At 52.1% G+C, this 27,949-nt stretch overlaps 1 protein-coding gene and 1 long non-coding RNA gene across 4 annotated transcripts, besides 8 other annotated features; both read right to left on the reverse strand.

Annotated features, from left to right (window-relative positions):
* Positions 2,830–26,922, reverse strand: PTTG1IP (PTTG1 interacting protein). Of its 3 annotated transcripts, NM_004339.4 has the most exons (6): positions 26,734–26,922; positions 18,627–18,679; positions 14,395–14,503; positions 9,425–9,596; positions 8,442–8,488; positions 2,830–4,859 (listed from the first exon to the last, which is right to left on the reverse strand). In NM_004339.4, the coding sequence occupies exons 1-6, from the start codon at positions 26,846–26,848 to the stop codon at positions 4,813–4,815; spliced, it is 543 nt and encodes a 180-aa protein (NP_004330.1). In that variant the 5' UTR covers positions 26,849–26,922; the 3' UTR covers positions 2,830–4,812. The 3 variants fall into 3 exon arrangements, 2 of the variants coding, with proteins under 2 accessions (NP_004330.1, NP_001273751.1); NR_104597.2 differs by lacking the exon at positions 14,395–14,503; NM_001286822.2 differs by lacking the exons at positions 8,442–8,488; positions 9,425–9,596; positions 14,395–14,503.
* Positions 15,502–16,215: an enhancer, noted in NCBI's record as "H3K27ac-H3K4me1 hESC enhancer chr21:46282185-46282898 (GRCh37/hg19 assembly coordinates)". NCBI's record gives its function as "activates a minimal SCP1, AML or CMV promoter by ChIP-STARR-seq in primed H9 embryonic stem cells {active_cell/tissue: H9 hESC(primed)}" and the evidence as "EXISTENCE:reporter gene assay evidence [ECO:0000049][PMID:30033119]".
* LOC124905039 (uncharacterized) lies at positions 17,025–18,620 on the reverse strand. Its single transcript, XR_007067906.1, has 2 exons — positions 17,200–18,620; positions 17,025–17,101 (listed from the first exon to the last, which is right to left on the reverse strand). It is a non-coding gene; the product is annotated as an uncharacterized LOC124905039 (long non-coding RNA).
* Positions 18,720–18,959: an enhancer, noted in NCBI's record as "active region_18577". NCBI's record gives its function as "activates an Ori minimal core promoter by ATAC-STARR-seq in GM12878 lymphoblastoid cells {active_cell/tissue: GM12878}" and the evidence as "EXISTENCE:reporter gene assay evidence [ECO:0000049][PMID:35858748]".
* Positions 19,210–19,279: an enhancer, noted in NCBI's record as "active region_18578". NCBI's record gives its function as "activates an Ori minimal core promoter by ATAC-STARR-seq in GM12878 lymphoblastoid cells {active_cell/tissue: GM12878}" and the evidence as "EXISTENCE:reporter gene assay evidence [ECO:0000049][PMID:35858748]".
* Positions 26,043–26,543: an enhancer, noted in NCBI's record as "H3K27ac hESC enhancer chr21:46292726-46293226 (GRCh37/hg19 assembly coordinates)". NCBI's record gives its function as "activates a minimal SCP1, AML or CMV promoter by ChIP-STARR-seq in primed H9 embryonic stem cells {active_cell/tissue: H9 hESC(primed)}" and the evidence as "EXISTENCE:reporter gene assay evidence [ECO:0000049][PMID:30033119]".
* Positions 26,544–27,044: an enhancer, noted in NCBI's record as "H3K27ac hESC enhancer chr21:46293227-46293727 (GRCh37/hg19 assembly coordinates)". NCBI's record gives its function as "activates a minimal SCP1, AML or CMV promoter by ChIP-STARR-seq in primed H9 embryonic stem cells {active_cell/tissue: H9 hESC(primed)}" and the evidence as "EXISTENCE:reporter gene assay evidence [ECO:0000049][PMID:30033119]".
* Positions 26,544–27,285: a biological region, named in NCBI's record as "H3K27ac hESC enhancer GRCh37_chr21:46293227-46293727".
* Positions 26,636–27,285: a silencer, noted in NCBI's record as "silent region_13393". NCBI's record gives its function as "represses an Ori minimal core promoter by ATAC-STARR-seq in GM12878 lymphoblastoid cells {active_cell/tissue: GM12878}" and the evidence as "EXISTENCE:reporter gene assay evidence [ECO:0000049][PMID:35858748]".
* Positions 27,202–27,879: an enhancer, noted in NCBI's record as "H3K27ac-H3K4me1 hESC enhancer chr21:46293885-46294562 (GRCh37/hg19 assembly coordinates)". NCBI's record gives its function as "activates a minimal SCP1, AML or CMV promoter by ChIP-STARR-seq in naive H9 embryonic stem cells {active_cell/tissue: H9 hESC(naive)}" and the evidence as "EXISTENCE:reporter gene assay evidence [ECO:0000049][PMID:30033119]".

Raw genomic sequence — 27,949 nt, forward strand, 5'->3', positions numbered from 1 at the left:
GGAGGGATGGACTCCAAGAGCCCTGGGGAGGCAGAGCCACAGATGAGGGCTTGGAGTCTGGCTCTGGGGTGTGAGCCACTGTGCGTGTGGGAGTCATCCACATGAGGACCTGAGGGTGACAGACGTGCTGCCAAAGTCCATGTGGCTCACGGGCTGCTTCCATCCTTCCGGACGTGGCTGGCTCTGATTCAAAGGCTGTTTTGTGGGGCCTGTTCCCCAGCGAATGCATGGGACCACAGACCAAGGGGGGCAGCAGGCAGTCCACTCGGGGACCTGGGCCACCCGTCAGGCTCAAGCAGACACCTTTGTGTCACAATGACCTGACCACCCCCGTCAGGCTCAAGCAGACACCTTTGTGTCACAATGAGGGCTCCCCCTGAAGAGGTGGCTGCCCCAAGTCACTCTGGGCTCACGGTGGATGCATGGTGGACAGCGGCCGCACGGTGGCCTTTGTGATGGACTCTGGGGCAGACAGGCTTCTCTGTAACATGGGCCTTGCAGAGCTAGTCCAGAATGCTGGGGGTGCACTGGGTACCTGCTGGGACCGCCCGTCAAGTGAGCACCGAGAACTGAACTGCCACGGCCACCGCCTGACTGCGGCCTGCAAGCAGCACCATTCGGCAGAGGGGGGACTGCAGGCGTGCTGCCAGGCTGGGGGTCAGGGGAGCCCCAGGACCACCTGCAGCAGGACAAGAGCGTGTCTCACCACCCTCCTGCTGCCTTCTCAGAAGCTGTGTCTGCCCCCGGCCCGAAGCCAGTGACAGGATGGAGTCAACATCCCGCCCACTCTTCTGGCCTCCCCACTTCACACCCAGGCCCAGTCCTTGCCTTCAGCCGCTGTGGTCCCCATGTTCTCGCCTCTGCCCAGGCCAGCCCCAGTCTGTCTGTCCTCGAGTGTGCTGAACACACTGGACACCCCACTCCCCTCCATCTGTCCTGCCAGGGATTAGATCCCCACAGTCAGGCATCTTCTTTGGAGGGAAATTTGGCAGATTCTAGTCAACGTTTCAAGTACACATCACACACCCTTTGATCCAGAATTCTACTTCTAGAAGCTGACCTCACAGCTGAGTCAAATGCCACACCGAGGCAGCACGAACTGGACTGCAGGTGGAAGCTACGCCTCCCAAAGCAGACGGGTGGGACTGGGTGAGGACACTGACGGTCCTGAGAAGCCCTGCACCTGGTGCCCCACGGAGGCCGAAGGACAGACTGGCTTTGGAAGGCACACAAGACCAGCTAACAGGGACGCTGGCCTGGGCACCCACAGTGACTGCATTTTTATTTTTAGTTTTTGAGACAGAGTCTCGCTCTGTTGCCCAGGCTGGAGTGCAATGGCATGGTCTCAGCTCACTGCAACCTCCACCTCCTGGGTTCAAGCAGTTCACCAGCCTCAGCCTCCCGAGTAGCTGGGATTACAGGCGTACACCACCACACTCGGCTAATTTTTGTATTTTTAGCGGAAACGAGGTTTCACCATGTTGGCCAGGCTGGTCTCGAACTCCTGACCTCAGGTGATCCGCCCGCCTCGGCCTCCTAAAGTGCTGGAATTACAGGTGTGAGGCACCACGCCCGGCCAGTGACTGTATTTTTAACCTGCACGATATTTTTTTTTTTTGAAGAGCAGACATCAGAGAGGAAGTATTTTACTCACCAACCATTCCTTTTAAAGCAGAAATCTCAGTGTAATCAGAAAACTTCCAACTTTATAATTTTTTTTTTTGAGACAGTGTTTTTGCTCTCGTCGCCCAGGCTGGAGTGCAATGGCATGGTCTCAGCTCACTGCAACCGCCACCTCCTGGGTTCAAGTGATTCTACTGCCTCAGCCTCCCGAGTAGCTGGGATTACAGGCGCACGCCACCACGCCCGGCTAATTTTTTCTATTTTTAGTAGAGACAGGGTTTCACCATGTTGGTCAGGCTGGTCTTAAACTCCTGACCTGAGTGATCCACAAGCCTTGGCCTCCCAAAGTGCTGGGATTACAGGCGTGAGCACTGTGCCCGGCCAGAAAATTTGCAACTTCTTAAACGATTCTAAGCCTAATGTTTCTGACAAGGATGAGCCTCTCAAACGAGATACTGGGCACTAAGACCACACCATAGCAGTGCGTCTGGGGGCAGCACCATGGCAGTGTGTCTGGGGGCAGGAGTCGCAACCTCACGTCTCCCCGTTCCAGATGCAAGTCTGCAGTTGCCACACATTCCTGAATGAGCCGGAAGCGGGTCGAGCACAGGGGGTTTCCGCCGCAGACGGGCTGGTGCTCGTAGCCACAAACGCTGGGCCCTGCGGGGCAGGTCCACGGGACAGACAGACATACCAATACTCTGCTGCTCGGACTCAACCCTGTGTCCCAGAGGACTGAAGTGGCAGGAGCAACACAGAAGGGGGCCGGGGTGGGGGGGCACTCCCTAAAAACCTGGCACGGAGACACCCAGGGAAGGACGCGAGGGGAGCAGGGAGCGCGGGAGCCTCATGCAGGTGTGCGTTTCACACGGGGGGGCCAAGGTCGCCCTTCCCGAGGCAGCCCTGCCTTCTCCCCCGGCCCTCGGCACCCAGCGCGAGTGGAGGGCATGCGGTGCGCAGGGCAGCTGTGGAGGGCAGAGACAGCCAAGACCTCCCCTGCGAGGCAGGCCCGTGGGCACAGTTTTAGGACACAGCCTGGTCCGTTCTGACAGCCACAGGCATTTAGTCTGGAGACTGCCCAGGCATCCCACGATGGGTCAGAGGCCCACTTTACCCAAAAAAGCCTACCTGCCTCCCAGCATTCCAAGCGGTCATGTCGACACCACTGAGATGGAACACAGGAACACGCAGCATACTAAACACACGCAGGTAGTAAACCGTTTTATTGGAAACTGGTTAAAAATTAAGGCACTCCAAGCTTTATGGTTTCCTTGAGGTTACAGTTTTGTGGCTGCTCTTAGTGTATTTCAGAAAAAAGCAGATGGACGAAGACCGACCTTACAGACGTGGGTTTCTACACTGAGCGCAAGGGCTGACTACGCTGTATTTCACAACCGAGCCCTAGCGCCAGCTCAGCACCCTACGCTCAGGAAGCGGATTTTGCACACACACTACTGCATTCATACAGAGTTCACTGAAGTCTATTACCAAGTGTCTTTTATGAATAAACAATACAAAGTCCAATTTTGATGGCTGCTATAAAATACTTAGGAATCTCTGCAATACTTTACTACAAATACAAATGCCCAAGAGGTCAGGGAAATCAGCCTGAAGAACTGGGTACAGGTTCTATTCTTTGTGGAAATTTCAGCCTAGGAATGTTATTCCCGGTACAGATGTACACAGTCAAAAAGGCTTATCGAGCTGTTTGACGAGTTCTTGAAGTGTTCTGGATCAGTGATCTGCCTGTGAACTTTAGTTCACGCTGAAGACAGTCTTCTCAGTTTTCATGACTGTGAAGTGTGAAAATGGAACGCATCCTTGATCTTAGGTGCTGCTGACCTACTTTCCCAAAGCAAAATGTTTTAAAATTCAAGGCAATCTGGAACAGGGACTATTTCCAAACTTCCTTAGGCAGCACTTTTCAGTGACTTCCCCGCACGCTGCTTTCCCTGCCACGAAGCGCTTGGTCTGCTTACTAAAGCCACGTATCCTGATTTTACAGAAACGTGGGCAGGTCCAGCAGTGCCACTGGAGAGCTCCCAGAGAAGCCCACTCAGAAGGAAGTGGTCAGACCACCCTCGAGCCAGAGCGGCTGGAAGCTGGACTGGTCCCATGAGGCAGAAGGAGCACCAGCGCCTGCTGGGTGGTGTGGGGAGAGCCCTCAGCTGACTCTGGACACACCTGCTTCCGGGGCACGTGGCCCAGAGCCGGGCCTGTGGACGGGCCTTTCTTTCTTCTTGGGGTGGACCCCGTCCCCACGATCCCTAAATGGCCACCCCCCAGACAGCCCAACAGGCAGCGAGAGGCCTGCAGGCACTGAGGATGCCAACAGGGCTGGAGAGAGCTGCAGCGTCCTGCCCCGTCCTCCCCACACCGCTGGCACACGAGCAGTCAACTGGTGCTGCTGAGGCAGGCCAAACACCACATTTATAATTCAAGCTTCCAAGGGAAAAAGATTCTCATGTTCTAGTAAAGATACAAATTTTAAAAATTGTCCAAAAAGGGCCTGAATTTTTATATGAAGGTTTTCTGGTGAAATCTTTTAAGCAGGGAGGAAAATCCAATAAATTTTTTTAAAAAGGTTTAGCTATTCCCCAATGCTATTTAATACAATTGAGGTTAGGACGTTAAGTCCTTATCAGACTGTGTACTGGAGCCCCGTGTCATCAGCAAAAGCCGTGTGAGTCAACAGGTGTGAAGACTCAAGATGCGCACACAGACGCTGTCCGTGGTTTTATGGGGAATGATGAGGGCTGGTCAGTTCTCCTCATGACAAAAGTCAAACCGACTTCCCTGTGTTGCGTGTGAAGCTTGTTAGTGGACAGAGAGAAACGCAGGGTTCTGCCCTGGGAGAATGACAGCCACAGCGCTGGGTGCCGTCAGGCGGCTTCGTGTGCAGTTAGCGTTTCACAAACTGAGAAGAGTATAAAAAAGCCCAAACCCCAAAGATTTCTTATTTCAAGTGACTAAATCTAGAAACAGAGATGAACAGGGAATAGAAGGTCACCAGTCTGCAAGACGAGAGGACTGTCCTTCAGGGGCAGCTCTCCGGCCGCCTGTCCTGGAAGGCTGGCAGGTTCACTGGCCAAGGTCAGGAGACCGCAATGGCCACGTGGTCTCCCGGCTGGGCTGGGCTGCGGAGCGTGCACCTCACAGGAAGCGTCGGGACTGATGTGCTGGAGCGCTTTAGTTGTTTTCAAATCTAGCATACGGGTTTTCTTCTTTAAACAGGCCTGAAACAAAATAAACTTGAATCATAACTTCATTCATTCAACCAGAAACAAAATCTTAGAAAGCCATACAAACCAAGCTTTATAAGAAGATTTACTGAGGCTATAGCAACAACGGGCATTGTAAGCAGGCTCTCATACAGTGCTTAACCTTTTTTGAAGTCAAACCACTTTAAACTTTAAAACTGAAATAAAATTTACTAGAAACAAGAACTCTAACAGATCCTAAGAGATAAGCACTTACTTCCTGATGCTCGGCGAAGAAAAGAAATTTAAGGCAAGTATTTCTTTCCACAGTGGTTGGCTAGTTCCACAGTGGATGGCTACTATTAAACAAAATAACCTTACTTTGTGCTTATAGCTGCTCTTAAACCTTTGGAATTAAGGCTACAGAAAGAACTAAGATGACCATCAATCTAACTCTCGAGTACTCTGACAAAACTGGGATAAAATGTGTATTTAATCATAAGAGTAAACCTGTGCTACTTACCCAAAGACCAGGAGTTTTCCCTTCACACTGCAGAAACACACACACATACACACACTCTCTCTCCCTTTATTTTTTATTTTTTTTTGAGACAGAGTTTTGCTCTTGTTGCCCAGGATAGAGTGCAATGGCGCAGTCTCGGCTCACTGCAATCTCCGCCTCCTGGGTTCAAGGAATTCTCCTGCCTCAGCCTCCGGGTAGCTAGGACTGCAGGCACCCACCACCATACTTGGCTAATTTTTGTATTTTTAGTAGAGACGGGGTTTCACCATGTTGGTCAGGCTGGTCTCGAACTCCCAACCTCAGGTGATCCACCACCTTGGTCTCCCAAAGTGTTGGGATTACAGGCGTGAGCCACCGTGCCTGGCCTCTCTCTCCCTTTAACAATCTGTATTGTACACTAAAATTATCTGCAGCGATTACAACAAAGCTACTCACTGCATGTATTCTGGGGGCTGGGTGGAAGAGGCGGCGGGGAAGCAGAGGGATGGTAAGGAAGGGCCTAGCCATGTTTCTTTCTTGCCTGTCAAGGAGGGCCACAGGCATCAGGCTTTGGGAGTGAGGCTCAAAGTCGGTTTTGGGAAAGAGTCATCAGATACTAGCAAGGAGGCTGGTTAAGTTCTTATTGAAAAACTCGCTCCTGAGTCTACTTCCAGTTTAGAGGGAAAACCAAAACCAAAAGAAGGGTTTTTGCGTGCGTGCTGGTATTTTATATAACTGCACCAGGTGGACTCACATGCTTTCTCGCACTCTCCCATCAGGAATTCCTAGGAATTCTTCTAACTAGCCGAGGCTTTCCAAAGCACAGGCCATTCAATGGCTTTATTACAAACTGGCACAAAAAGCTCATTTCATCAATGCAATTAAAGGGCCAAATTAACCACCAAAATGGCAAGTGCAAGTCAATCAGGGCCCTGACACAGAAGACACCACTCCAAGAGCCTGGCCGGCCACCCACAGCCTCACACCCGCTGGGAGTCAGGGCACAGTAAAGGTCGAGCAACTTAAACACAGCTTGTGCTTGGTGATAACAGGTGCTGGGCAGTGTGTGCGTGTGTGCGCGTGTGCGTGTGTGTGTATCCACCTTGTCTTTTATTTACATTAACATTAGTCTGGCTGGGTGTGGTGGCTCATGCCTATAATCCCAGCACTCTGGGAGGCCGAGGCGGGCGGATCACGAGGTCAGGAGATTGAGACCATCCTGGCTAACACAGTGAAACCCCATCTCTACTAAAAAATACAAAAAATTAGCTGGGCGTAGTGGTGGGCACCTGTAGTCCCAGCTACTCAGGAGGCTGAGGCAGAAGAATGGTGTGAACCTGGGAGGCAGAGCTTGCAGTGAGCTGACATCGCGCCACTGCACTCCAGCCTGGGCGACAAGGTGAGACTCCGTCTCAAAAAAAAAAAAAAAAAAAAATTAGGTGCCAAAAAGCTCTTGACTCTTCCATTTCAAGGAAAGCACAATGCCTCCAGCCAAGGCCTGCAGAGATGCTGCTGGGCCCACGCTCCACGTACACAGGCATGCACTCGCTGAGGAGGGCAACCCTGGTGCTGCTCCTTATGACAGTCACACGCAGGTACCCGGTCACCACCCACTCCAGACACACACCGGGAAACAACAGGCGACAGAGAGGGTGGGGCAAGGACAAGGCAGCAGTGAAGAGAACCCAGAGAGTCAGCGCCCAAGCACACGGCACTCAGGAGACTGATGGGCGGGAACACATAGGAAAAAGCCTCTATCAGCCACTGGGCATCTCGAGGCCAGCAGCCAAGGCAGCCTCACGCCCCCAAGCCGACACTTCGAGACCGGCAGGACTCACGTGGCCTCAGGTCACAGCACAGTCACATGGAGGTGACTTTCCAAGGAGGCCAGAACTGACAGGGAGGGGACGTCCCGGCCAGTGGGCAGAGCCACCCAGCGTTTACAGTCCAGGGCACCAGCAGCATGGGGCCTCTGCAGCCCCCATGAGAGGGAACCCAACGCCAATCACCTGCACCTGACGGAGGCGCCGCTCACAGTGGCTGCTGGGCTTTGCCGTCCACCCCCCACCCGATGACCGAGAACCGCAGCGACGTCCTCATGCCCCCAGTGGGTGGGACCCTAAAATACCACAAATATATGATATTCCCTAAAACAAACAGAAGACTCAAAACACGTGCATTAGTCAGAAAAGGCTCTGAAATTTTCCAATTAGGTTTAGCCTTTAATATACTGCTTCAAGGAAAGCACCGTGGGCGCAGGACGACAGATTCCTGAGGCCCACGGCTGCCATGAACCCAGGACCACGCACCTCGCACAGGCGAGGAGTCAGTTCCCACCATGTCCATGACGCCACACAACCACAAACCCAGCGCGGGAGACGCCCATGACACCACACAACCACAAACCCAGCGCGGGAGACACTAGACTCTTTGCGGACTTTAAAATCATACAGAATCAACGAAGCACGGCTGGGTGGTGGTGTTCAGTGTTAAGCAGTGAACATCACGTGGTTTGGGGGAGTATAGATAACGTAATGTGTATTTCCAATTCACTCCAACTAAATAAAAGGTTTACACTTGGCAAATACATTCATTCTGGCTCCTTCAAAGCTCCTCTCCAAAATCTCTCCAGACACAACCAAACAAGAACAGAACGCCGAGGCTGGGCGAGAAGGAGCAGGGCCGGTGCTGGGGAGTGCTTGGAAGGAGCGCCTGCCACACTCAGAAGATGGCAACGAGCAACGCTCCCGAGGATGAGAGGGCCGCCCTGAAACTCACAGCACCTCGGCTACGCAGGCGTGCCCACAGGAAGCCAAACACGACGGCAGAACAGCTGCAGACTTCCAGCCCAGAAGTCTTGGGACTCGATAAGCAAACAGCTATCTGAGAAAACAGACTTCATGAAGACGACTGGCTGAGATAAAGATATTCTTAGGAGTGAGTTCACCACAGAACCGCTGGGGACAACCGCCAGCTGCTCCTCTCTGGAGAGACGTCCTTCTGTTCCGATGGGTGAACCCACAGCCCCATCTCAGGCCACACTGGCACTAACGAGGACCGAGACAGCGTGCCATCGCCTCCCAACCAGACAAAAAGGAGGCGTGACCAGTCCTTACCATATTTTTTTCTGATTTCATCATGTCTTGTCTTCATCTCTGCTCTCCTAAAACACAGAGGAACATTATGAGCACCAAACGACAGCGCACGGTGGTGTAACTGCTAGACACGCCCTTCCGTGTCCCTCAGTGGGGGCGCCAGGTTTCTTCTGGTGGCTTCCCTCCAGTTCCCAGAGTGAAACCAGGGTGAGGACAAGCTTGGTCATCAGGCCACATACCCACCAGGACAGGCAAGGTGACAACGAACCCAGTCTTCAAAGGCCGTTCCAATGTATTACTCTACTCTTTTCAATAAAAGCAATTCAAATGCCCAATACCGTGATTTTTAAAAAGCTTTTTTCATACAAAGAAAACACAGTAAAAATCATACACCAGGTTCTGAAGATGGTGAGGAAAATGCGATTGTCAGCTTTTACTTAGTAGCATGTGACTTCAAGGTGACTACATGGAAAATCTGTCCCGCTTCCACCCTCGCCCGCCGCCAACCTGACAGTTGGCCCCTCAGGTCCTCTCCTTTGCCAGGTGTGGATTACACCACCTCCTCCTGGGGTTGCCCCAGAGCCCCAGCAAGCACTCAGGAGAGTGCTGTGTCACCAGGGAAAGGGCGACAGGAGAGCTGACCCAGCCACAGTCAGACGCTGTCCCCTCTGAGCCTCAGCTTGCTCTTGGCAAATGCTGGGCCTGGACGAGCCGCCTTAGCAGCCGTCACACACCCGTGTCACCGCGCACAGACTCAGCCTTACTGCACCGATGGGAGGACACCGGGCGAGGAAGCCTATAGAAGCAAGGTTCGCAGCCACTGCTAGGTTCCCATCACAGTCTCTCGCTCTCTACCACGACCTAGAAGATCCCCTGGGCACTATACACATTCTTAATTTCTAAAAACTGAGGAAAACTCAGGATGTATCCATGTGATTTCCATGGCCTTGCAGATCTGAATCCCCTCGAAGTAACCTTCCCAGCGGGCATCACCACCACCTCACCGTTCCTCCTGCCGTATCCGCCTCTCCTCCCGCTCACGCATGGCCTTCTCCTCACTCCTGTCCGGCTTCCGGCTCCTCTTCCTCCTGCAGCAGCAGCAGCAGCAGATGGCAATGCCCAGGAGGAGGGTTCCCCCGACTACCGACATGGTGATGATCAGCGCCTCAAAGTTCACTGGAGATTCAAGCACCTGGAGTTAGGGCCGCCCCAGACACAGAACCCACCCAGCACAGCAGCCTTCCCTCGCCCCTGGGGAACAACCTCAGGACACAGGAGCATAAGGAGGAAAGCCGCCTCGGCCAGGCTGCTGGCTCCTGGCGTGTGGAGAGCCTGTGGCCCTGCCTCCACCCCACAGGGTCCCGCCCTCTCCAAGTCTCCTTTCAGCCACACGTTCCTATCTGTGACTTAGAATTTATTAACAATTTATAATATTAACCATAATGAACTGAAGTGACAGGGTAGTCTGTCTCAGCTGAGTTTGAAAAGGTATTTCAAGCCTGAGAAAAGTTAACTAACCAAAATTCCAAGCTACATACTCAGACTCTCGTAAGACATTCTAAACTCACAGAAATGGAGGTTAAGCCTGATGCAGCTTTCTTTTTTTTTATTTAAACCAAAGTCAAGAATATTACAATGATTTACAAGAGAAATAGACTCTCAGGGCACATACTGGCGGCCAGGTTCGAAAAGAATGACCGTGGAGGAGCGGACGAGACCACGGAACAAGACGGGATCATCTTCAAATCTGAGTGTTTTGAGGACCTTGGGGCTGAAGAACGGCTGGCTAATCGGTCCCAAACCCTGTTATGATTTCCTTAACCAGCCTTCAGACACACGTGCACATTTAAAACAGATCTTACTATCCTTTTAAACTTCTTTTGAAGATCTATACATTGAAATCAGCCAAGATTTTTCCATTCAGTTCAAACCAGAGGCAATTAAAAAATACCCTAAAACTACTTTTGCAAATGTGTTTTCAATCATGTAGTTCAAACAGCCTCCTTGGCTGGACACAGTGGCTCACACCTATAATCCCAGCACTTTGGGAGGCCAAATCGGGAGGATTGCTTGAGCCCAGGAGTTCAACACCCGCCCAGCCAACAAAGTGAGACCCAGCCCTGCCCATCTCTACAAAACTGTTTAACAAATTAACTGGGTGTGGTGCATGCACCTCTGGTCCCAGCGACATGGGAGGCTGAGGTGGGAGGATCGCTTGAGCTTGGGAGGTTGAGGCTGCAGTGAGCCGTGCCTACACTATTGCACTCCAGCCCGGGCAACACGGCAAGACACCATCTTGAAACAAACAAAAAACACCCAGCCAGCCTCCTGAAGATGGCTTTATAAGCAAACTCCCCTGGGCAGTAGATTACCGCATGATTCACTGTTTTTAACTACAGTTAATAGCTGTGCCACCACCACAGGTGACACCGTCTCACCTCCAGGGGCTGGGAGTTGAACACTTGCTGCATGCCTGGGCCCTGGCAAGGAGGCCGACGGCCAGGCCTCTGGGGCTCCCGCAGCCTCACCCCTCTGCTGCCCCGGACGCTGAGATCCGCATTTCTTAGTTTATTAAAATAGTTTGAAAATCAGGAATAGGAGGTTACATCTGATCAAATGCCTTTTGAGCTTTTAATCCTGTGTTTTTTCCTCCTCTGACCTGTTCTGGAAGCGTAGAATTGCAAAAATTATAGTAAGAGGGAGAACTACAGAGGGGACCTTCATTGGCAGAAGATGTCATTTTCTGACTGGAGAACTCCAATGAGATCAACAAGATGGCTGGCCTTAAAACATATCTACCCCTCAGATAGCTTTTCTGATTAGCAGCTAAAACTAGTTAAAAACAAACAGAAATCCTGTCACAATGGGAAACAAACTCTGGGCTCCTTTTGCTGATTCCATAGGGTAAAACCCATGAACTTGAACTTGAACCAAAGGATGTGGGAGAGGCCTGAAAGAGAGGCATCTTTGCCTCTGGACAAACGGCCAACGCTGTAGACATTTCATTTTCCTTCAAGTAAGCATGTTTATCAGGCCATTACAATTAAAGCTCCAAAATAATTTTGGCTAGAACTGGATAAAATGGTTCTAAGGTTACCTGTAAGAATAAACAAGGACCTGTGGTGCAAGACCTAAAACGGGTATCATGTGCGCCGCGGCATCTGGTGAAATCAGGAGGGCCCTGAGGGCCCGGCCACAACTGCTCCTCCCCACTCTGCTCCCGTGGGCAAGGCTGGACAAGGTCCCAGCTCAGACAGCCTCTTCCTCCTCCCGGCAGGGCCAGGCACACTTTCTGTTTCTCCCGGAGGAGCAGGTGTCAGTTCCCTCTCAGCCTCAGAATTAACCAAACAAGCCCATCGCACCCCACCCTCCTGTCACGAAATGGCTGCCTCCCCGAGCCCTGTTCCCCTGCGGGACCCTGCGTGGCGTGTGGTGCCCCCTCCCCACTGTGACTGTGACTAGTCACCTGCTGCCGCTCTCATGTGCAGGGCTGGGTGTTGTGTGTCCATCCACTTCTGCAGCCTAGCGTGGGGATGTCATTTCACAAGAGAATTGTCAAAAACACCCACCACTTGTAAAGGTGCTCAGCACGATCGGCTAGTCACTGCAGAAATGCAGGTGAGAAGCACAAGACACCACTACACACCCACTAGATGGACTGAACTTAGGGTGACTGGTTACCCTAAACATTGGGAAGGATGTGGAGCAACCAAGTCCCACATTGCCTGAGGGAGGCCAAACTGGTACAGCCACTCCAAAAACATTTGGCAGACGTACTAAGGCTAAACACAAATATGCTCCGTGACACAGCAACTCCACCCCTACACTCCTCCAGACGTGAGCGCCTGTGCCGGCACCAACACAACACCGCTCACAGCAGCACCAGAAGGACCCAGGCGTCCCTGAGTGGCAGCATGGCTGAACAGCTGTAGAACACTGCACGAGAAAGATAACTGGTGCAGGCAATTGACACGAATCTCGGGCACATGCTGAATAAAACATCCAATAAAGCACAGGATTTCCTCCACATAAAGGCGGGAACCAGTAACATTAATCTGTGGTGACGGGAAGTCCAGTCAGTGGCTCCCATGGGGGTCCTGACAGGAATTGGGCCTTCTGAAAGTCCTGGAAGTCCTACCTACTTTGCTGTGAGTGGTGATAACCTGTATACGTATGCAAAAATGCACTGAATATATGTACGCACACACGTGTGCATTATGTAGGCTATAAGCCGCGGTCCATGTAGGCACACACGTGTGCATTATGTAGGCTATAAACTGCGGTCCATGCAGGCACACATGTGTGCATTATGTAGGCTATAAAGTCCATGCAGAGAGAGACTTCAGATGTGTGCACTTCATGAGAAGCTACATGCCATTAAAAACACCTCCAGAACAGGTGTTCCAAAGGGCAAGGCTCCCCAGGTCCAGGAGCTGTGTCTTCAGAGTGGTCATTAAGAGAAGTTCCATGGAAGGGATGAGTTCACAAACACACATGCATCACACACAGTACACACATCACACATGAAGGTGCACACACACCACCACCACCCCCTGCCAGACATCCCACACTACAACCACCACCACCACACAAACTTTTGAATTCTCTAGGGCCTCAACACCAGCAACAAGTTGTTTCAGATGGAGGCTGATAGATTTTGAAATGGAAATCAATTAGAAGAGTGGTAAGTAAGACGTAAGTTGCAGAGGGATCCAAGATGCAAATAAACAAAAAGAATCATCAAAACACCTTAAGAAAATATTGCTTCTTTACAAAGTTTAGGAACCCTATGTATTACCCCAAAACCTGAAGCCTAAAAGATTAATAAATTCAACTACATAATAATGAGTTCTAGGTTACAAAACACACCACAAACTGATTTAAAAGGCAAACTACGGGGCTGGGCGCAGTGGCTCACGCCTGTAATCCCAGCACTTTGGGAGGCTGAGGTGGGCAGATCATGAGGTCAGGAGATCGAGACCATCCTGGCTAACACAGTGAAACCCCGTCTCTACTAAAAAATACAAGAAATTAGCCGGACGTGGTGGCGGGCACCTGTAGTCCCAGCTACTCAGGAGGCTGAGGCAGGAGAATGGCGTGAACCTGGGAGGCGGAGCTTGCAGTGAGCCAAGATAGTGCCATTGCACTCCAGCCCGTCTCAAAAATAAATAAATAAATAAATAAAGGCAAACTAGAAAACAACTTGAATCTCACAAGAGCTGATTTCCTTAATTTAAAAACGCCTCCAAAATCAAATATACAAAGATACGCACACAAAAAAAGAGGGCTGTCTACGCAAGCAGGGATTCTTAAGCTGGGAAAACTGGAGATTCTAGGGGAATTCACAGGTGAGTTTCAGGGGTGACACATGAACAAAACATACTGAGCAGAGAAGTCAAACACGTTGCCTTCAAACTCACCCTTTTCCCCACACCTTCTGTAACGTGGTGAGATAGAGCTCAGTGCTGGGGCTGACCACCTTGAAGGAGGTCCTCCAGGTTCCCCAGGGCTGCTTTCCCGGTCAGCAGATCACCCCTGGCTTCCCAACCTCTCCCTGGGAGTCACAGAGCTACTGGCAGCACATTTTCTAGCAACTTCTGCTAACTGAGCACATAATACTATTTTCTTTTTTTTTTGAGACAGTCTCGCTCTGTCGCCAGGCTGGAGTGCAGTGGCACGATCTCGGCTCACTGCAAACTCCGCCTCCCGGGTTCAAGCAATTCTCCTGTCTCAGCCTCCCAAGTAGCTGGGATTACAAGTGCATGCCACCACGCCCACCTAATTTTTGTATTTTTAATAGAGACGGGGCTTCACCATGTTAGCCAGGATGGTCTCAATCTCCTGACCTCTTGATCCACCCGCCTCCGCCTCCCAAAGTGCTGGGATTACAGACGTGAGCCACCGCGCCCGGCCCATACTACTATTTTCAAAGAAGCATCGATTTTGCAAGCAGCAAATGAAAACAATGACTTACCCCAACAAACTCCCCAGCGTGCAGAGCTCAATTTACAAAGGGAAGCCGGTGGCAAGACGCTTGTAACTGGGTAGTCCAGACAAGCCTTGTTAGTGTTGCACCAAAGACACTGAAAGAGACCAACATTAAGCAAGCATTAGAAACAACAGAAAAACCAAAGAACTGTCCAGGCTCTGCCCACAGCCCGCCAGTGCTGCCATCGCTCTGTGGATGGCTGTAAAGGCTCAACCTCCCCCTCAACGCCTCATCTCTGCCTTCACCCTCAGCGCCCTTCGGTCCACACCCAGCACAGCGGCCAGCAGCCCTGTCAGCTCTCCACGGACTCATCCAAGGCCCGCGTCACTCAGGCCTCTTCCACAACTCACCCTGCTGAGGCCACGGGGCCTCTGTGTTGGCAGCCTCCTGAGTGCTGCCAACCCCACCTCATGCTCTCAGCCTCAGCTCAGCCTGCCGGTTCTGCCTGGAGCACTCTCCCCACATCTGTGTGGCTCCCCACTGACTGGATGGGCCCTGCCTCGATCAACAGACTGGACACAACCAGCCGCCTCCACCCCCTCCTCCTCACCTCCTGTGAGGTTTGCTTCCGTAGACCTCTCCTCCCCACACGCCGGGCACCTGTGCACTTCACTGGCTGAAGTCTCCCAAGAACACAGGACACAGCCTGGCCCATCACAGGCACTCACTGAGTTTGTGTTGAATGGACTTGGGTGAGCATGGTCACCATCTGTAGCAAGGACCATGCTTCCTACCTCTGACCTTCACAACTGCACTAAGTCGCACAGCTTGAAAGATGATGCAACTACGGCTCAGCCCGCCCTAAACTGACAGCTGGAGAGAACCTCATAGACGCTCTTGTCTGAGCCCCTTGAACGTCAGGTGTGAGGCCGCAGTGGTGTGGAGACAACACCATCACACCCGTGTGTGTGTGTGTAAGAGCCCAGAGCTGGGCCCAGCCCATGCCACAGCAGTACACAACGAGGCCCGAAAGCGGTCTGTGAGCCAGGCACTGAGCGTGACAGGGGACAGCCTAGCACGCAGGCAGATGGCACAGGAAGGGGTGAAAGAACTGCTGTTCGGGTCAGGCACGGTGGCTCACGCCTGTAATCCCAGCACTTTGGGAGGCCAGGAGGGCGGATCACCTGAGGTCAGAAGTTCGGGATCAGCCTGACCAACATGGAGAAACCCCATCTTTGTTAAAAATACAAAATAAGCCGGGCGTGGTGGCACATGCCTGTAATCCCAGCTACTCCAGAGGCTGAGGCAGGAGAATCGCTTGAGCCCAGGAGGCGCAGGTTGCGGTGAGCCGAGATCGCACCATTGCACTCCAGCCTGGGCAACAAGAGTGAAACTCCGTCTCAAAAGGAAAAAAAAAAGAACTGCCGTTCGGCAGCACCTCATGCGCCAGCCCAAGTCCAGACCCAAGTCCAGACTGCCTGTTACTCCCAATCTCCACATTAACAGTGTTACTGACTTTTTAATAGGATAGAAAGTCATGGCGTTTTTGGCCCAGGTTAGGGCAAAAGTCTATTACAAAAAAATATTAATTACAATGTCCCCTGGGCCTTCTTTCCCAGGGCTACTTATACAGTGACCACCTTAGTGTCGTGTTTAAGTGGTTTCCAGCATAATGTAACAATTAACAGTTAAACCCTGTTTATTCTGGTCATTTGGGAGTATCTTCCATTTCAGGGGTTTTGCTTGCAATTAACGATTTTTGGCTAATCCTCCCTTTTCAAGTGGCTCAAGTTGTAAATGTCTGATTTTCCATTTTTCCATGACAGTGGTACCATGAGCCACAGGACTGCACTGGGAGGATACGGTGTTCTCTGGTGGTTGTGCTGCTTTTCTGATCGATGAAGTAATATGCACATAGCAAGCAGCTCAGGCAGCAGCACAGACACACAGCCCGCCACGGCCTCGGCAACACAGAGACACACAGCCCGCCACGGCCTCAGCAGCACAGAGACACAGCCCACCACGGCCTCAGCAGCAGAGACACAGCCCACCACGGCCTCAGCAGCAGAGACACAGCCCACCACGGCCTCAGCAGCAGAGACACAGCCCACCACGGCCTCAGCAGCAGAGACACAGCCCGCCACGGCCTCGGCAACACAGAGACACACAGCCCGCCACGGCCTCAGGAGCGTGGACACAGCCCACCATAGCCACTGCTCCAACACGCAGGTCCTCTTGAGACCTCCCAGGCACTGACACCTCCTTCCAGAAACCTCCTGTGTGCCCAAGAGCACACCCACACACGCCTGGAGCTACTGTAGGGCAAGCGGCCCTCTTCACCGCCCTGTCTGGGTTCAGAACTGGAGTCAGGCCTTCAGCCCTTCTGGACTGGCCCCATCCACAATGACCTGGGCAAGTCCCTCAGCCGCCTCATCCACGAGATGGCTGTCATCACCACACCCTGCCCAGGGTGGTGAGGGTTACACAGGGTACTATGGCAAAAACGCACTCTAGGCTACAAAGCCACATACAATAGTGAGCTATGTTTAAAGCTGAAATGACTTCCAATAGAAAAATCCAGAGACTAAAAAGAAGCACCATCTAGAAAATGCACCAGGACCAGGCGCATTAGAGCAGGTTCAACATCACCAATGTCAAGATCTGAAACCACAGAAACAGCGTCTTTCAATTTTTAATCAGCAAATGCAAGTATCCACTTAAGTCCCACAAACTGACAGGGTGTGTCTCGAACCTACGCTACGGTCTCGTGGAGGAAGAAGAGTTTTTAAGAACATGGCTCATGCCTTAGAATAGAAATCATCGAATACATCTTTCCCGGCCTCCTCAAACCTACGCTACGGTCTCGTGGAGGAAGAAGAGTTTTTAAGAACATGGCTCATGCCTTAGAATAGAAATCATCGAATACATCTTTCCCGGCCTCCTCATATCATGAAACCTCATTGCCGGGGAAAGGAAGCCTCTGGCCCTGCAGTTCTCAAAACCTGGTAAACTCCTGACTGGAAGGGGCAAGGGGTGGGCGAGATCAGGAATCCTAAGAAAAAGGCCCCACAGGATGCTGTTTTCTGCCTAACCACTTCCCGCTGCCGTGGGCCTTCCCTCAGGTTTCCCGTGCTGATTTCATAGCGCTGCGAGGAGACTTGGGTGCTGCCGAACCAAGAGCTGCGTGGCAAGGCAAGCCCAAGAGGTGCCAGCCAGGCTGGCCCAGGCGCAGGCCACCACGCAGAGAAAACCAAAGGACCCTGTTCACACGTTTTTGTTTTTGTTTTTGTTTTTTAAAGACAGTTTTTTGCTCTTGTTGCCCAGGCTAGAGTGCAGTGGCACAATCTTGGCTCACTGCAACCTCCGACTTCCGGTTTCAAGAAATTCTCCTGCCTCAGCCTCTCAAGTAGCTGGGATTACAGGCACCCGCCACCACGCCTAGCTAATTGTTTTGTATTTTTAGTAGAGACGGGGTTTCACCATGTTGGTCAGGCTGGTCTCCAACTGCTGACCTCGTGATCCACCTGCCTCGGCCTCCCAAAGTGCTGGGATTACAGGCGTGAGCCACTGCACCCAGCCCTGTTCACACGTCTTTAACAAGACCTGCACTGTGATGCTGCTTCCCCACCACGGGTGCTCCTTCTTCCAGGTGGGCATCTGCATCAGTCTCCATCGGGAAGGCACCCCGGGGAGTCTCGGGCCCCACCTCATGCCGTGGAGGCTTAGGGAACTTTGCTCCAGACCGCTACCCTCTTGTTGAAGGTCACACAGGTAGTTAAAATCCAAACCTGAGCCCCAGGTCACGACCAGAGAGTGCTATGGACAGCCTGGCCCACCGGCCCAGAGGGCTGGTGCCTCTCTCTCCTTGCTGTGCCCCTTCCAATCCTGTGTGAGCAGCTGAGAAAGCAGTCTCTGCTGCAGCCCGACAGCCTGGGAAAACACGGGCTCACAACCTGAGGGTGTAGCTTTGCGGACAGCCAAATTTCTCGCTATGGGCCTCGTTAGGAAGACTGGCCACGCAGTGCTGGCCCCATCTGCATAGGAGTGAAATCATGGATACTGACCATGCTCAGACAGTAACTGCAGTTTTCATGAGAAGGTTTAATATACCTGAAATGGCTAAAATAACATTTGATAACGATTCCAAAAAACATCCCCCCAAATCCCAAACAACAGAGCCCTCCACACATCCCAGCGAATCCCTGGACCTAGAGAAAGCCCGTGTGCCTTTGGACGGTCTGGACGGCACTCTGGTCTCTAGTCCACGTGCTACTTACGGAGACGTTCTTCAGGCACTCTTCACAGGTTTTGTTTGTGTTCTGAGAACAAGCTGCAGGAAAGAGGCAAGAGACAAGTCAGTCACTGAGAATCAGGCAGTGTAAATATTAGTCCAGCAGGGCAGGGTGGGCACCAGTGAGGGGTGTGGCACCAAGAACCTCTGATGTGGAATTACCAAATGAAGGTCCTCTTCCTGAGCCCCTGCTGATAACAAGCCTTCTTCAAGACATGTGGAACGAGTGTTCAGGAACCCCGCTGCAGGCAGGGCACAAAGAGTATAAACATGCGGCTCCTATCCACAAGGGCTCTTCTGGGAGAGAAGAGTGCCAACACAGAAGGCTGTGTTTCAGATCTCTCTGTGAGAGGAAGTGTGCCCTGTGGCTGTGTAATCACTAACCACAAACCTGCTGGGACCTTCTGCTCATCAGCAGGCACTCTTTTGGGAACCCAAGAGCCTCCATCCGAGGCCACAGCAACGCCAGCGACACTGCCACGCAGCACACTTGTGTCTTTGGACTCACCTACAGATCTCATGTGACAAAGCAAGGTCTTAGTCCCCTGGTAGCCTCACTCCAGACTGGGCTATGCTCCCTGTACCAACCTGTACCAAGGGAGAGGCCCGGCACACCAGCCTGCTCCAACCACACAGAACACCCTGAGACTCTGCCCACTACTCAAAGCGCTGCTACTAAGGAAGGGGTCAAACTCCACGCAGCCAACAGCTCTGGAACTCAAGCCAGTCAGAAGCAAGAGCGACTGCATGAGTAACTTCCAACATGCAACCAAGCTGACTGCCTACTCCCCCAATCCTGTAACACACACACACACACACACACAGCCTACTCCCCCAATCCCATAACACACACACACACACGCAGACTGCCTACTCCCCCAATCCCGTAACACACACACAGACTGCCTACTCCCCCAATCCCATAACACACACACACACACACAGACTGCCTACTCCAATCCCATAACACACACACACACACACACACACAGAGACTGCCTACTCCAATCCCATAACACACACACACACACACACACAGAGTGCCTACTCCCCCAATCCCATAACACACACACACACACACACGCAGACTGCCTACTCCCCCAATCCCGTAACACACACGCAGACTGCCTACTCCCCCAATCCCGTAACACACACACAGACTGCCTACTCCCCCAATCCCATAACACACATACACACACACAGACTGCGTACTCCCCCAATCCCGTAACACACACACACACACACACACAGACTGCCTACTCCAATCCCATAACACACACACACACACACACACACAAACACAGTGCACGCTGAAAAGAGCTCTGTGCTCATCACCAGTCACCAGACAAAGGCAAATTAAAACTCCAAATGACAGATGACTACACACCTACCAGAATGGCTAAAATTAAAGAGAATGACAATACCAAATGTTGGCAAGGATGTACAGCAACAGAACTCTCACACAGTGTTGGTGGAAGTGTAAATGGCTCAACCATTTGCAAAGAAGGTCTGGCAGCTGCTCCTAAACAAACATGCGACCACCTATGACTCAGCAATTCCACTCTTAGTATTTCATCCAGGAGAGAAGGCGCCTGCATCCACAGATGGACCTGCGCAGGAAGGCTCCGTGACAGCCCCAAGCTGAACACAGCCCAGATGTCACTCTGTAGGAGGGTGGACAGACAGACTGGAACACTCACACGATACCAGCAGGGCATCAAGAATAGCAAACATGCGGCTCTCGTATCAAGGGATCTTCTGGAAAAGGCATTCCAAACACAAAAGGCTGTTTTACGTGTCTCTCCTTTGGAGGTGAGCTAGGCGGCTGTGCAATCACTAACACTGTTCAGCGATAAAAAGAAACGAACTGCTCTATGTAAAACATGGATGAGTCTGAAGCACATCATGTGAGCGAAAGACGCCTTCCACAAAAGACCCTACCGTGTAATTTCGTGGCTATGCCGCTCTAGAAAAGGTGAGACTCACGTATGGAGGGAGGGGGGCAATGGCTGCCTGGGGGACGGCCATGCGTGGGGGAGGCTGAATCTTCCAGATCGAGGGTCTGTCTCGGTCGCGGCTATGTGGGTGTAACTCACTGAACAGCACAATTAAGTTTCCCACATATTCCCGTAAGAAAAATGTATCTCAAAAGAAAAAACAAGACAACTGCTGAACTCTGGTCCCTGACAGGCATGGTGAAGGCAGGAGAGCACGCTCATGTCTGTGACTGATGCTCACGTCTGTGACTGACATTCACGCAGGCGTGGAAGGCTGTGGGGGACACCTGGACAAATGCAACACAGCAAAGCATGGCGACACGGCTGAAGTGGCGGGTATACAAGCGCGCACCACAAAATCCTGCAGCTTTGCTGTCCATGTGAAGAGCTTCATGATGAAATGGAGGGAAAAGAGCTTCAGCTTTAACTTACAATTTCACTCATTACGTTTACCAAAAGGGACAAATAATACATCGAGTACATTGTTGTGATCCTTCTATTTAACAGTGTAGTTCTACACTCCACTTTTCTGAATAAATCTCCACTTTATTTGAAACGAAAGCACATTTTGTCACATATTCTATAGCAATTATCACTAAGTAGTACTTTTCTCAGAGTCTCTAGCGATGTGCTATTCGGTTTATGGAGAAGTTTCTTTTAAGCCACTTTAGATACTTGAAACAACAGGCTGTATTCAGCCCCAGGGAGGCAAAGAAAATTGACAACCAGTGAAAAGCCTTAATTTCTTAAATCACTGCTGAGAGACAGGGTTACAGGAAACTTTGATAAGAACAGCACTGCTGACGTTCCCAAGTCCCCAGCTACTTGGCACTGTGGGAGGAAGGAGCAACTGTGGGCTGATGGTGGGCAAAGACCCCCGTGGTGCTGCAATGTGACGGGCACCATGATGAACTCTTGGTTTTAAAATTCAACTCCTAGCTCTGTCTGCTGAAAGGGCCTAGAAAGGACAACACCCAGCAGCAGAGGTGTATTCTTGGTGCCCAGGTCGTGGTTTCTACGTGCTGTTCCCCATCAGCCGGAAGCAGGGCTCCTCGGAGAAATGGCTGATTCCAGAAGTGGGGCAGGAAGTGAACACATGAGCCACAGACAGTGTGCAGTGCCCGAGAGTGGCACAGACATGAACGAATGGCAAGAGGACCCAGAAGCCAGCCTGGAGGGAGTCTTTCTGGCCATATCTGGGCCAAGTGAACATCAAAATAAATGATAACAGTCATGAACTCTAACCCCTAGAAGCCACACTGACATGAAATAAAGAGAAGGCCGAGTGGCAAATGCTGAAGAAATGATGAGTTGAGAAGCCTCCATTTTACAATCATCACAGCCAACACTAATGCAGGCAAGAATTCCCCAAAGATGCCAAGTCCACTGGGTCTGCCCCCGAAGATGCCAAGTCCACTGGGTCTGCCCCCGAAGATGCCAAGACCACTGAGTCTGCCTGTGGACTGACAAGATAGTCTCAAAGCACCTCCCCACAGGTGAGTCATTACTCATGGAGAGGAGGTGGCACTTCCAAGAGATCAGTTATCTCCACCATAACCCAGAACAACATGATGATGGGACAAAGTGACAGCATGTGCCTCCCACGGAGGATACTGAGAGGACAGAATCACTGTGCCGTGCTCCTGCCAAAGCGCACCTGAATCGAATCAAAGGAAACACCCGGTAAGACCCACTGAGGGTCCTTCCACAAATTGGCTTTCTCAAGACAAAGAGGAACTATTCTAGATCAATGGAGATTAAAGAGACACAACAATTAAATTCAACTTGTGATCCTGGATTTCAGGGGGTAGGGGAACAGGACATTGTTGGGGTAACTGTTTAAATTTGTATATGGATTGTAAGTTAAATCAGGTATTCAATGTTACATGTCCAGATTTTGATAATTATATAAATTTCAGTTATGAAGAAGAACAGCCTCCTTCTTAGGAGATAGACTCTGAAGAATGTAGAGATAAAGGGTCACAATAGTAACTTACTCTCAAATGGTTTGGTCAAAATAACAACAGGCAACACAATTATGATTGTCAATTTACAATACATTTTTAAAATATAAGTAGAGATAGAGTCTTGCTATGTCACCCAGGCTGGTCTTGAACTCCTGGCCTCCGGCAATCCTCCCACCTCGGCCTCCAAAAGTGCTGGGATTACAGGTGTGAGCAACTGTGCCCAGCTGAATCAATTTTTAAAAATAAATAAAACACAAACAATTGTATTATAAATTTAAAAAATAAGGAGATCTAGAGAGTGCTAAGGCAAACAGAGCCAATGTTGAGAATGGAAGGGCATCCAGGACTTCACTGCACTATTCCTTCAACTTTCTGCGCCTCTGAGGTCTTTCTAAATACAATCTGGGCAAGGAGACAGGGTATGCCCAACACACCCACTCGAGTCCTTCCTGAAAAGTCATCCATGAGGAAGGGTGCGTGTGCTTCCTCTCCTCAGCCCAACAGTGGCTACAAGTGACAGGGGATTTTCATTTTTAAAGCTTCTTTCTGATAACTAGGTCTTGTGTGAACTAAAAGAACTGAGCTCCAAAACACACACCGTCAACTCCATCTATCCCCAGACCTCTGGATTACCGGTCAGTCTGAGTCAGACCCAGACCTCTGGATTACCGGTCAGTCTGAGTCAGCGGAGAGGCATGAGAGGAAGAGGGAGAGAAAAACCGCCCAACATTCCTCCTGCTCCCAGCAGGCCAAGAACAGAGCGGGCTTTCAATAAGGGGGAAAACACCAATGTTTACAGTCCTCATGAAAATAACATCAAAGATGAAAAAAGGTCATTCTATTCTATCCTTTGAAAACATATCATCTTGCATAGTAAGAAAAGAAAGGCCGGGTGCAGTGGCTCACGCCTGTAATCCCAAAACTTTGGGAGGCCGAGGTGGGCAGATCACCTGAGGTCAGGAGTTCGAGACCGGCCTGGCCGACATGGAGAAACCCCATTTCTACTAAAAATACGAAAATTAGCCGGGTGTGATAGCATGCGCCTGTAATCCCTGAGGCAGGAGAATCACTTGAACCTGGGAGGCGGAGGTTGCAGTGACCTGACATCACGCCACTGCACTCCAGCCTGGGCAACAGGGCAAGACTCCATCTCAAAAAAAAAAAAAAAAAAAAAAAGAAAGGCATGAATCATTTGTTACTGCTTCAAAGACAAGCAGTGTTTATTTCTCTAAGTGATCACTATCTCTTATCTCATCACAAGATACAGAAAAAACATGTGCTAGAAAACCAGAGATAAAAACTGCCCTTGTGTTGCTTAAGTCTAACACTGAATGTGACTGCCCTGACTTCTGGGTCCTATGACTGCAAGGCTTCAACTTAGACTCCATTTATCAATTTTTAAAGACCTTTCAGTCTCATTTGTTTCCGAAATTAAAGGAAAAAACAACAACAACAAATAACGTTTTCTTCTGTCAGGATACACCAACCCTCCATGACCCATTTGAGTGCTTTCCTGAAGTTTCAGGTGAGTCAATAAACACACTAAGGACAAAGGAACACACCAGCAAGTGTACGTATTTCCTTGTCATGCTCCTGTCACACCGCAGGCCACAGGCTGCAGTCTCCATGCTCATCAGCAGAACGAGCAGCCAAACGGGCATGGTGCCCACTCTGCACTGTGACAGAGGCATGGAGAACAACTACATTGTCAATTCCAGGTGAGAAAAGAGGGCAGATATGGAGACAAAAAAATGTTCTTGGAAACTCCACTATTTCAAAAGAAAGAGTTGAAGACTAGGAGTATGTATCAACACTGTGAACCCTATGTACACTGTAGCACTCTGTACAGTTAGAAAGCCACGTTTCTCAGGGTGACAGGGGCAGAACTCCACATCAGGAGTCCCCACTGTAAGGAGCAGCTGAGTGGGACCCACCACCTCGGGGACCTGCACTGGCCACCACTGCGCCAGCCCTCACACAGCAGTCTGAGCTCCTTTTTGGGGTCGTCTTTCCTCCAGATGAAGCTCTTGGATTGAGTCTGACCCCATACACAAATAAAGTGGGGTCCAAAAGCCCTATCCAGGTTTAACTTCAAGAATCTTGCTCTAAAGATCTTCAATACACCATGGGTTCTTAATGTCTCTCCTCCATCAAAACACATAAAAAGATGCTTAAAAGTGTTGGATTTGGATTGGTATAATGTATTCTCTAAATTCACACAGTGTCCTTGTAAAGGAGACAAAACGTTTTAAACATCAGTACTGCGGTCACATTCCTGTAACCATGACAAGCAGTAAAAATCTCACACCAAGCAAGTACTCTGTGGGAAGAGGGGAGTTCTCCAGGCTATAAATAGCCCCTCTCTCCAAGGACAAGGGGCACGCAGACACCAAAGGCGCCTGGGCAGTGAATGCCAACATGACACGGCACCATTCTTCCTATTCCAAGGGGTCCCCAGTGAGAGAAACAACAGTCCACCCACCAGGACTTGGTGATTACCATAAGTGGAAGCAAGCAAGTGCAGCCTCCAAGTGCAGACACACCGAATGGCTTTTCAGCTGACACACCGAATGGCAGTTCCGGATTAATTCCCACACTGTCCACTCCACTCGTCCACACCCATCTCTGCACCCTTCAGCAGTGCAGAGCAGGAGGAATCACAGTCAAACAAAACCTCATGGTTGTTTTCCTGACACTCCCGCTTTCACAATGCAAGCAAACACACCCCCGAGCCACTGATACAGTTGCCAGTGAATCACACACTCTGCCTGCAGACGCCCATTCTGTTTGTGGAAACGTATTCACTGCACATTTGCGCTTAGAACTCAATCTGGGCCAAAAGTTCCCAGTACAGTCCCACTGGCCTCCTTGACTAACAAACTTCAAGGCAGCTGCATTGCTAACGTCACAAACCCTAAGCACACTTGGAGGCAGGTAAGAAGAAACACAAATAATCCTGCATCGGAATAAACATTCCATAAGGTCACAAAAAGAAAAGGTGCTCTACTATGCTAAACAGACACTGACAGAGCCTGGGCTAACAAGAGCTGAGAAAAGTATTAGCCCCTCAAGCTGGGCCCAGGTCAACCCTAATTGTAAGGGTCAGGAAACTGAAGTTAAGGTGGCACTATTCCCCACCACTAGTGGTCACCTGGAAACTCCACACACGGAAGCCAGCATGACATTGTGAAACAGGTCCAACCATGACACTCTCCAGCTTAGAACCTGCTGGATTTTCCCGCAGCCCACCAGGCCCTGGAGGCCCAGCCCCACAGGAAGCCACCCTCTATAAACACTGCCGGTTTCTGGAACTCTGAGTCTCCTGTCATGCACTTTCCTCCCCCAGCCCCCGCGCCCTCACTGCTTCTTTCTTGGTCAGCCTCCCGGGGACTCAGCTCCTCTTGGATAGGAGCTCTGGCTGTCGGTCACCACTGTGGCCGCAGGGCCTGGTGCAGACGGGATAAACGATGAAGAATGCCACCTGCGCGTCTGGACAGCGTAGAACCGCAATCAGCTTGCTTCAAAATCAGATGCTACAGCCTGGCTTTGGGGACGCCTTCCTTTCTAAGGCATAAGTGCGAGCGTTCGCTGCTGTGCGTGGAACTGCGGCCGGGAGGGAGTGGCGGCGTGAACGCCGGCGGCTGTAGAGACACACCGGCCGCGGCCCCATCACCCTGCAGGGGCCTGCGGCCGCCATCCCGGCCTGCCCCCGACCAGCTGTGCGACCTCGAACACGTCGTGAGCCGGCTTCCCGGCTCGGGATCGAACCCGAGGAGTGCTGTTTGGGGTCGCAGTGAGGCTAAGGGAGGCCGCAGGTGCCAAGCGTCCCGCCTGCCGGGCGAGGGCCAACCCGAGGCCACGCGCGAGGAGCGGCCGCAGCGACTGGACAAAACAAAGACAAAGACAAAGACGGCTCTTCCCCTGCCCGCGCCCCAGCCGCGACGGCAGCTCCCGCGGCCGCCAAACGGGCGTGACCCTCGAGGAGCCTCCGTCGGGGCGCTGCCTGCGACCGTGGGCCCAGGCCGCCCGCCGAGCCCAGCGCCCTGGCCGAAACCCCGACCCCGACCCCGACCTGGACCCACCAGCCGCCCCGCCCCCTTCGCGGCCCCGCCCGCCCCGGCGCCCTCACCAGCTCCGGGAGGCTCCTGCGCGGCGGCCACCGGGATGAGCAGCAGGAGCAGCGCGGCGCCACCGAGGCGCAACCTCCAGTACGGCGTCGGCCCGCGGGCCACTCCGGGCGCCATGGTCGGCCGGTCGCTCTATCAGTCAGTGGAGCGTTACAACTCCGACTCCAGCACAAGCGGTCTCCGCCCGGAACAGCCGCGGCGCCGGAAGTGGACCTGCGAGGTGGGGCCATGCGAGTGCGCAGCCTCAAAAAGCAGCTCGCCCCGCTCCCTCGCCATCTGCCCCGCCCCTCGCCAACGGGCTCGCCTCCCGGCGCGGCTGAGGTTCAGTGCGCCTGCGCGATAGAGGAAAGGAGCCTGGTAGCGAGGAGAGCGGCTGAGGCTCAGTGCGCCTGCGCGGCGCGGATGGGCGAGGCGTGACCGAGGGGCGAGGCGTGACCGAGGGGCGAGGCGTGACCGAGGGGCGAGGCGTGACCGAGGGGCGAGGCGTGACCGAGGGGCGAGGCGTGACCGAGGGGCTCGCCGCGGCTCCTGCGCCTGCGCGGCGGGGAACGGCGACCGGCTGAGGGGACTAGGGGAGCGCGGTGCTTCGGTGGCGGAGGTCACGGTGGCCTCCATCCTAAAGGGCTGCGGGCGTCCCGGACGGCGGTCCCAAGCGCTGCTCACGCTGCTCTTAAGTGAGCCCTGGACGAGGCGCGGTGGGCCCTCATAGTCCGCGCCGGCGCCCTCGCTCCACACCGCGGCGTCCGGCCCTGGGCTCCCGCCGATGTCCGCGTGGGACTTTTAGGGGATTTGTTTATTTTTGTACGTTAACCACACTAGAAACGGCCCCAGAATGGGCTGAAACGTGTGCTGCTGAAGCTGCCACCTAAACTCCCGAGAGAAGCGCCGTTTCTCCTCCATGGCTTCTCGCCGACGCCCTCGCTGCGGCCTTCCGGGCCCCTCGGTTGATAAAAGGACTAAATAGTGACGGACATTTTTAAGGCTACTTAAGAAATGGCAAAAATACATTTAGAGGTGTGAACCCGAACACACTGCGCGCTTTAAGCCCCGCGAGAGCCGGGGCCGCCCGCTTCTGTGCGCCCGTAGCTCCTTTCTCGGGTCCGGGATTCGCCGGTGCCGGGGACAGAAACCTCCTGCCTTCTTAGTTCATGACCCTTGTAGATGAACTTCCCTGTTTTCTGCACTGCTTAGACCAGAAGACGGGAAACCGTGACTGCC

The sequence above is a fragment of the Homo sapiens genome, chromosome 21, assembly GCF_000001405.40.
Source record: "Homo sapiens chromosome 21, GRCh38.p14 Primary Assembly".
Taxonomy (NCBI): domain Eukaryota; kingdom Metazoa; phylum Chordata; class Mammalia; order Primates; family Hominidae; genus Homo; species Homo sapiens.

Bases quoted from the DNA above. Each gene is read 5' to 3' on its own strand.
- PTTG1IP (NM_004339.4), bottom strand. From the start codon at position 26,848: ATGGCGCCCGGAGTGGCCCGCGGGCCGACGCCGTACTGGAGGTTGCGC. The intron at 18,680-26,733 runs GTGAGGGCGCCG...TCTTTCCTGCAG, and splicing joins GCAGGAGCCTCCCGGAGCTG to CTTGTTCTCAGAACACAAAC. The intron at 14,504-18,626 runs GTAAGTAGCACG...GGTCTCTTTCAG, and splicing joins AGTGCCTGAAGAACGTCTCC to TGTCTTTGGTGCAACACTAA.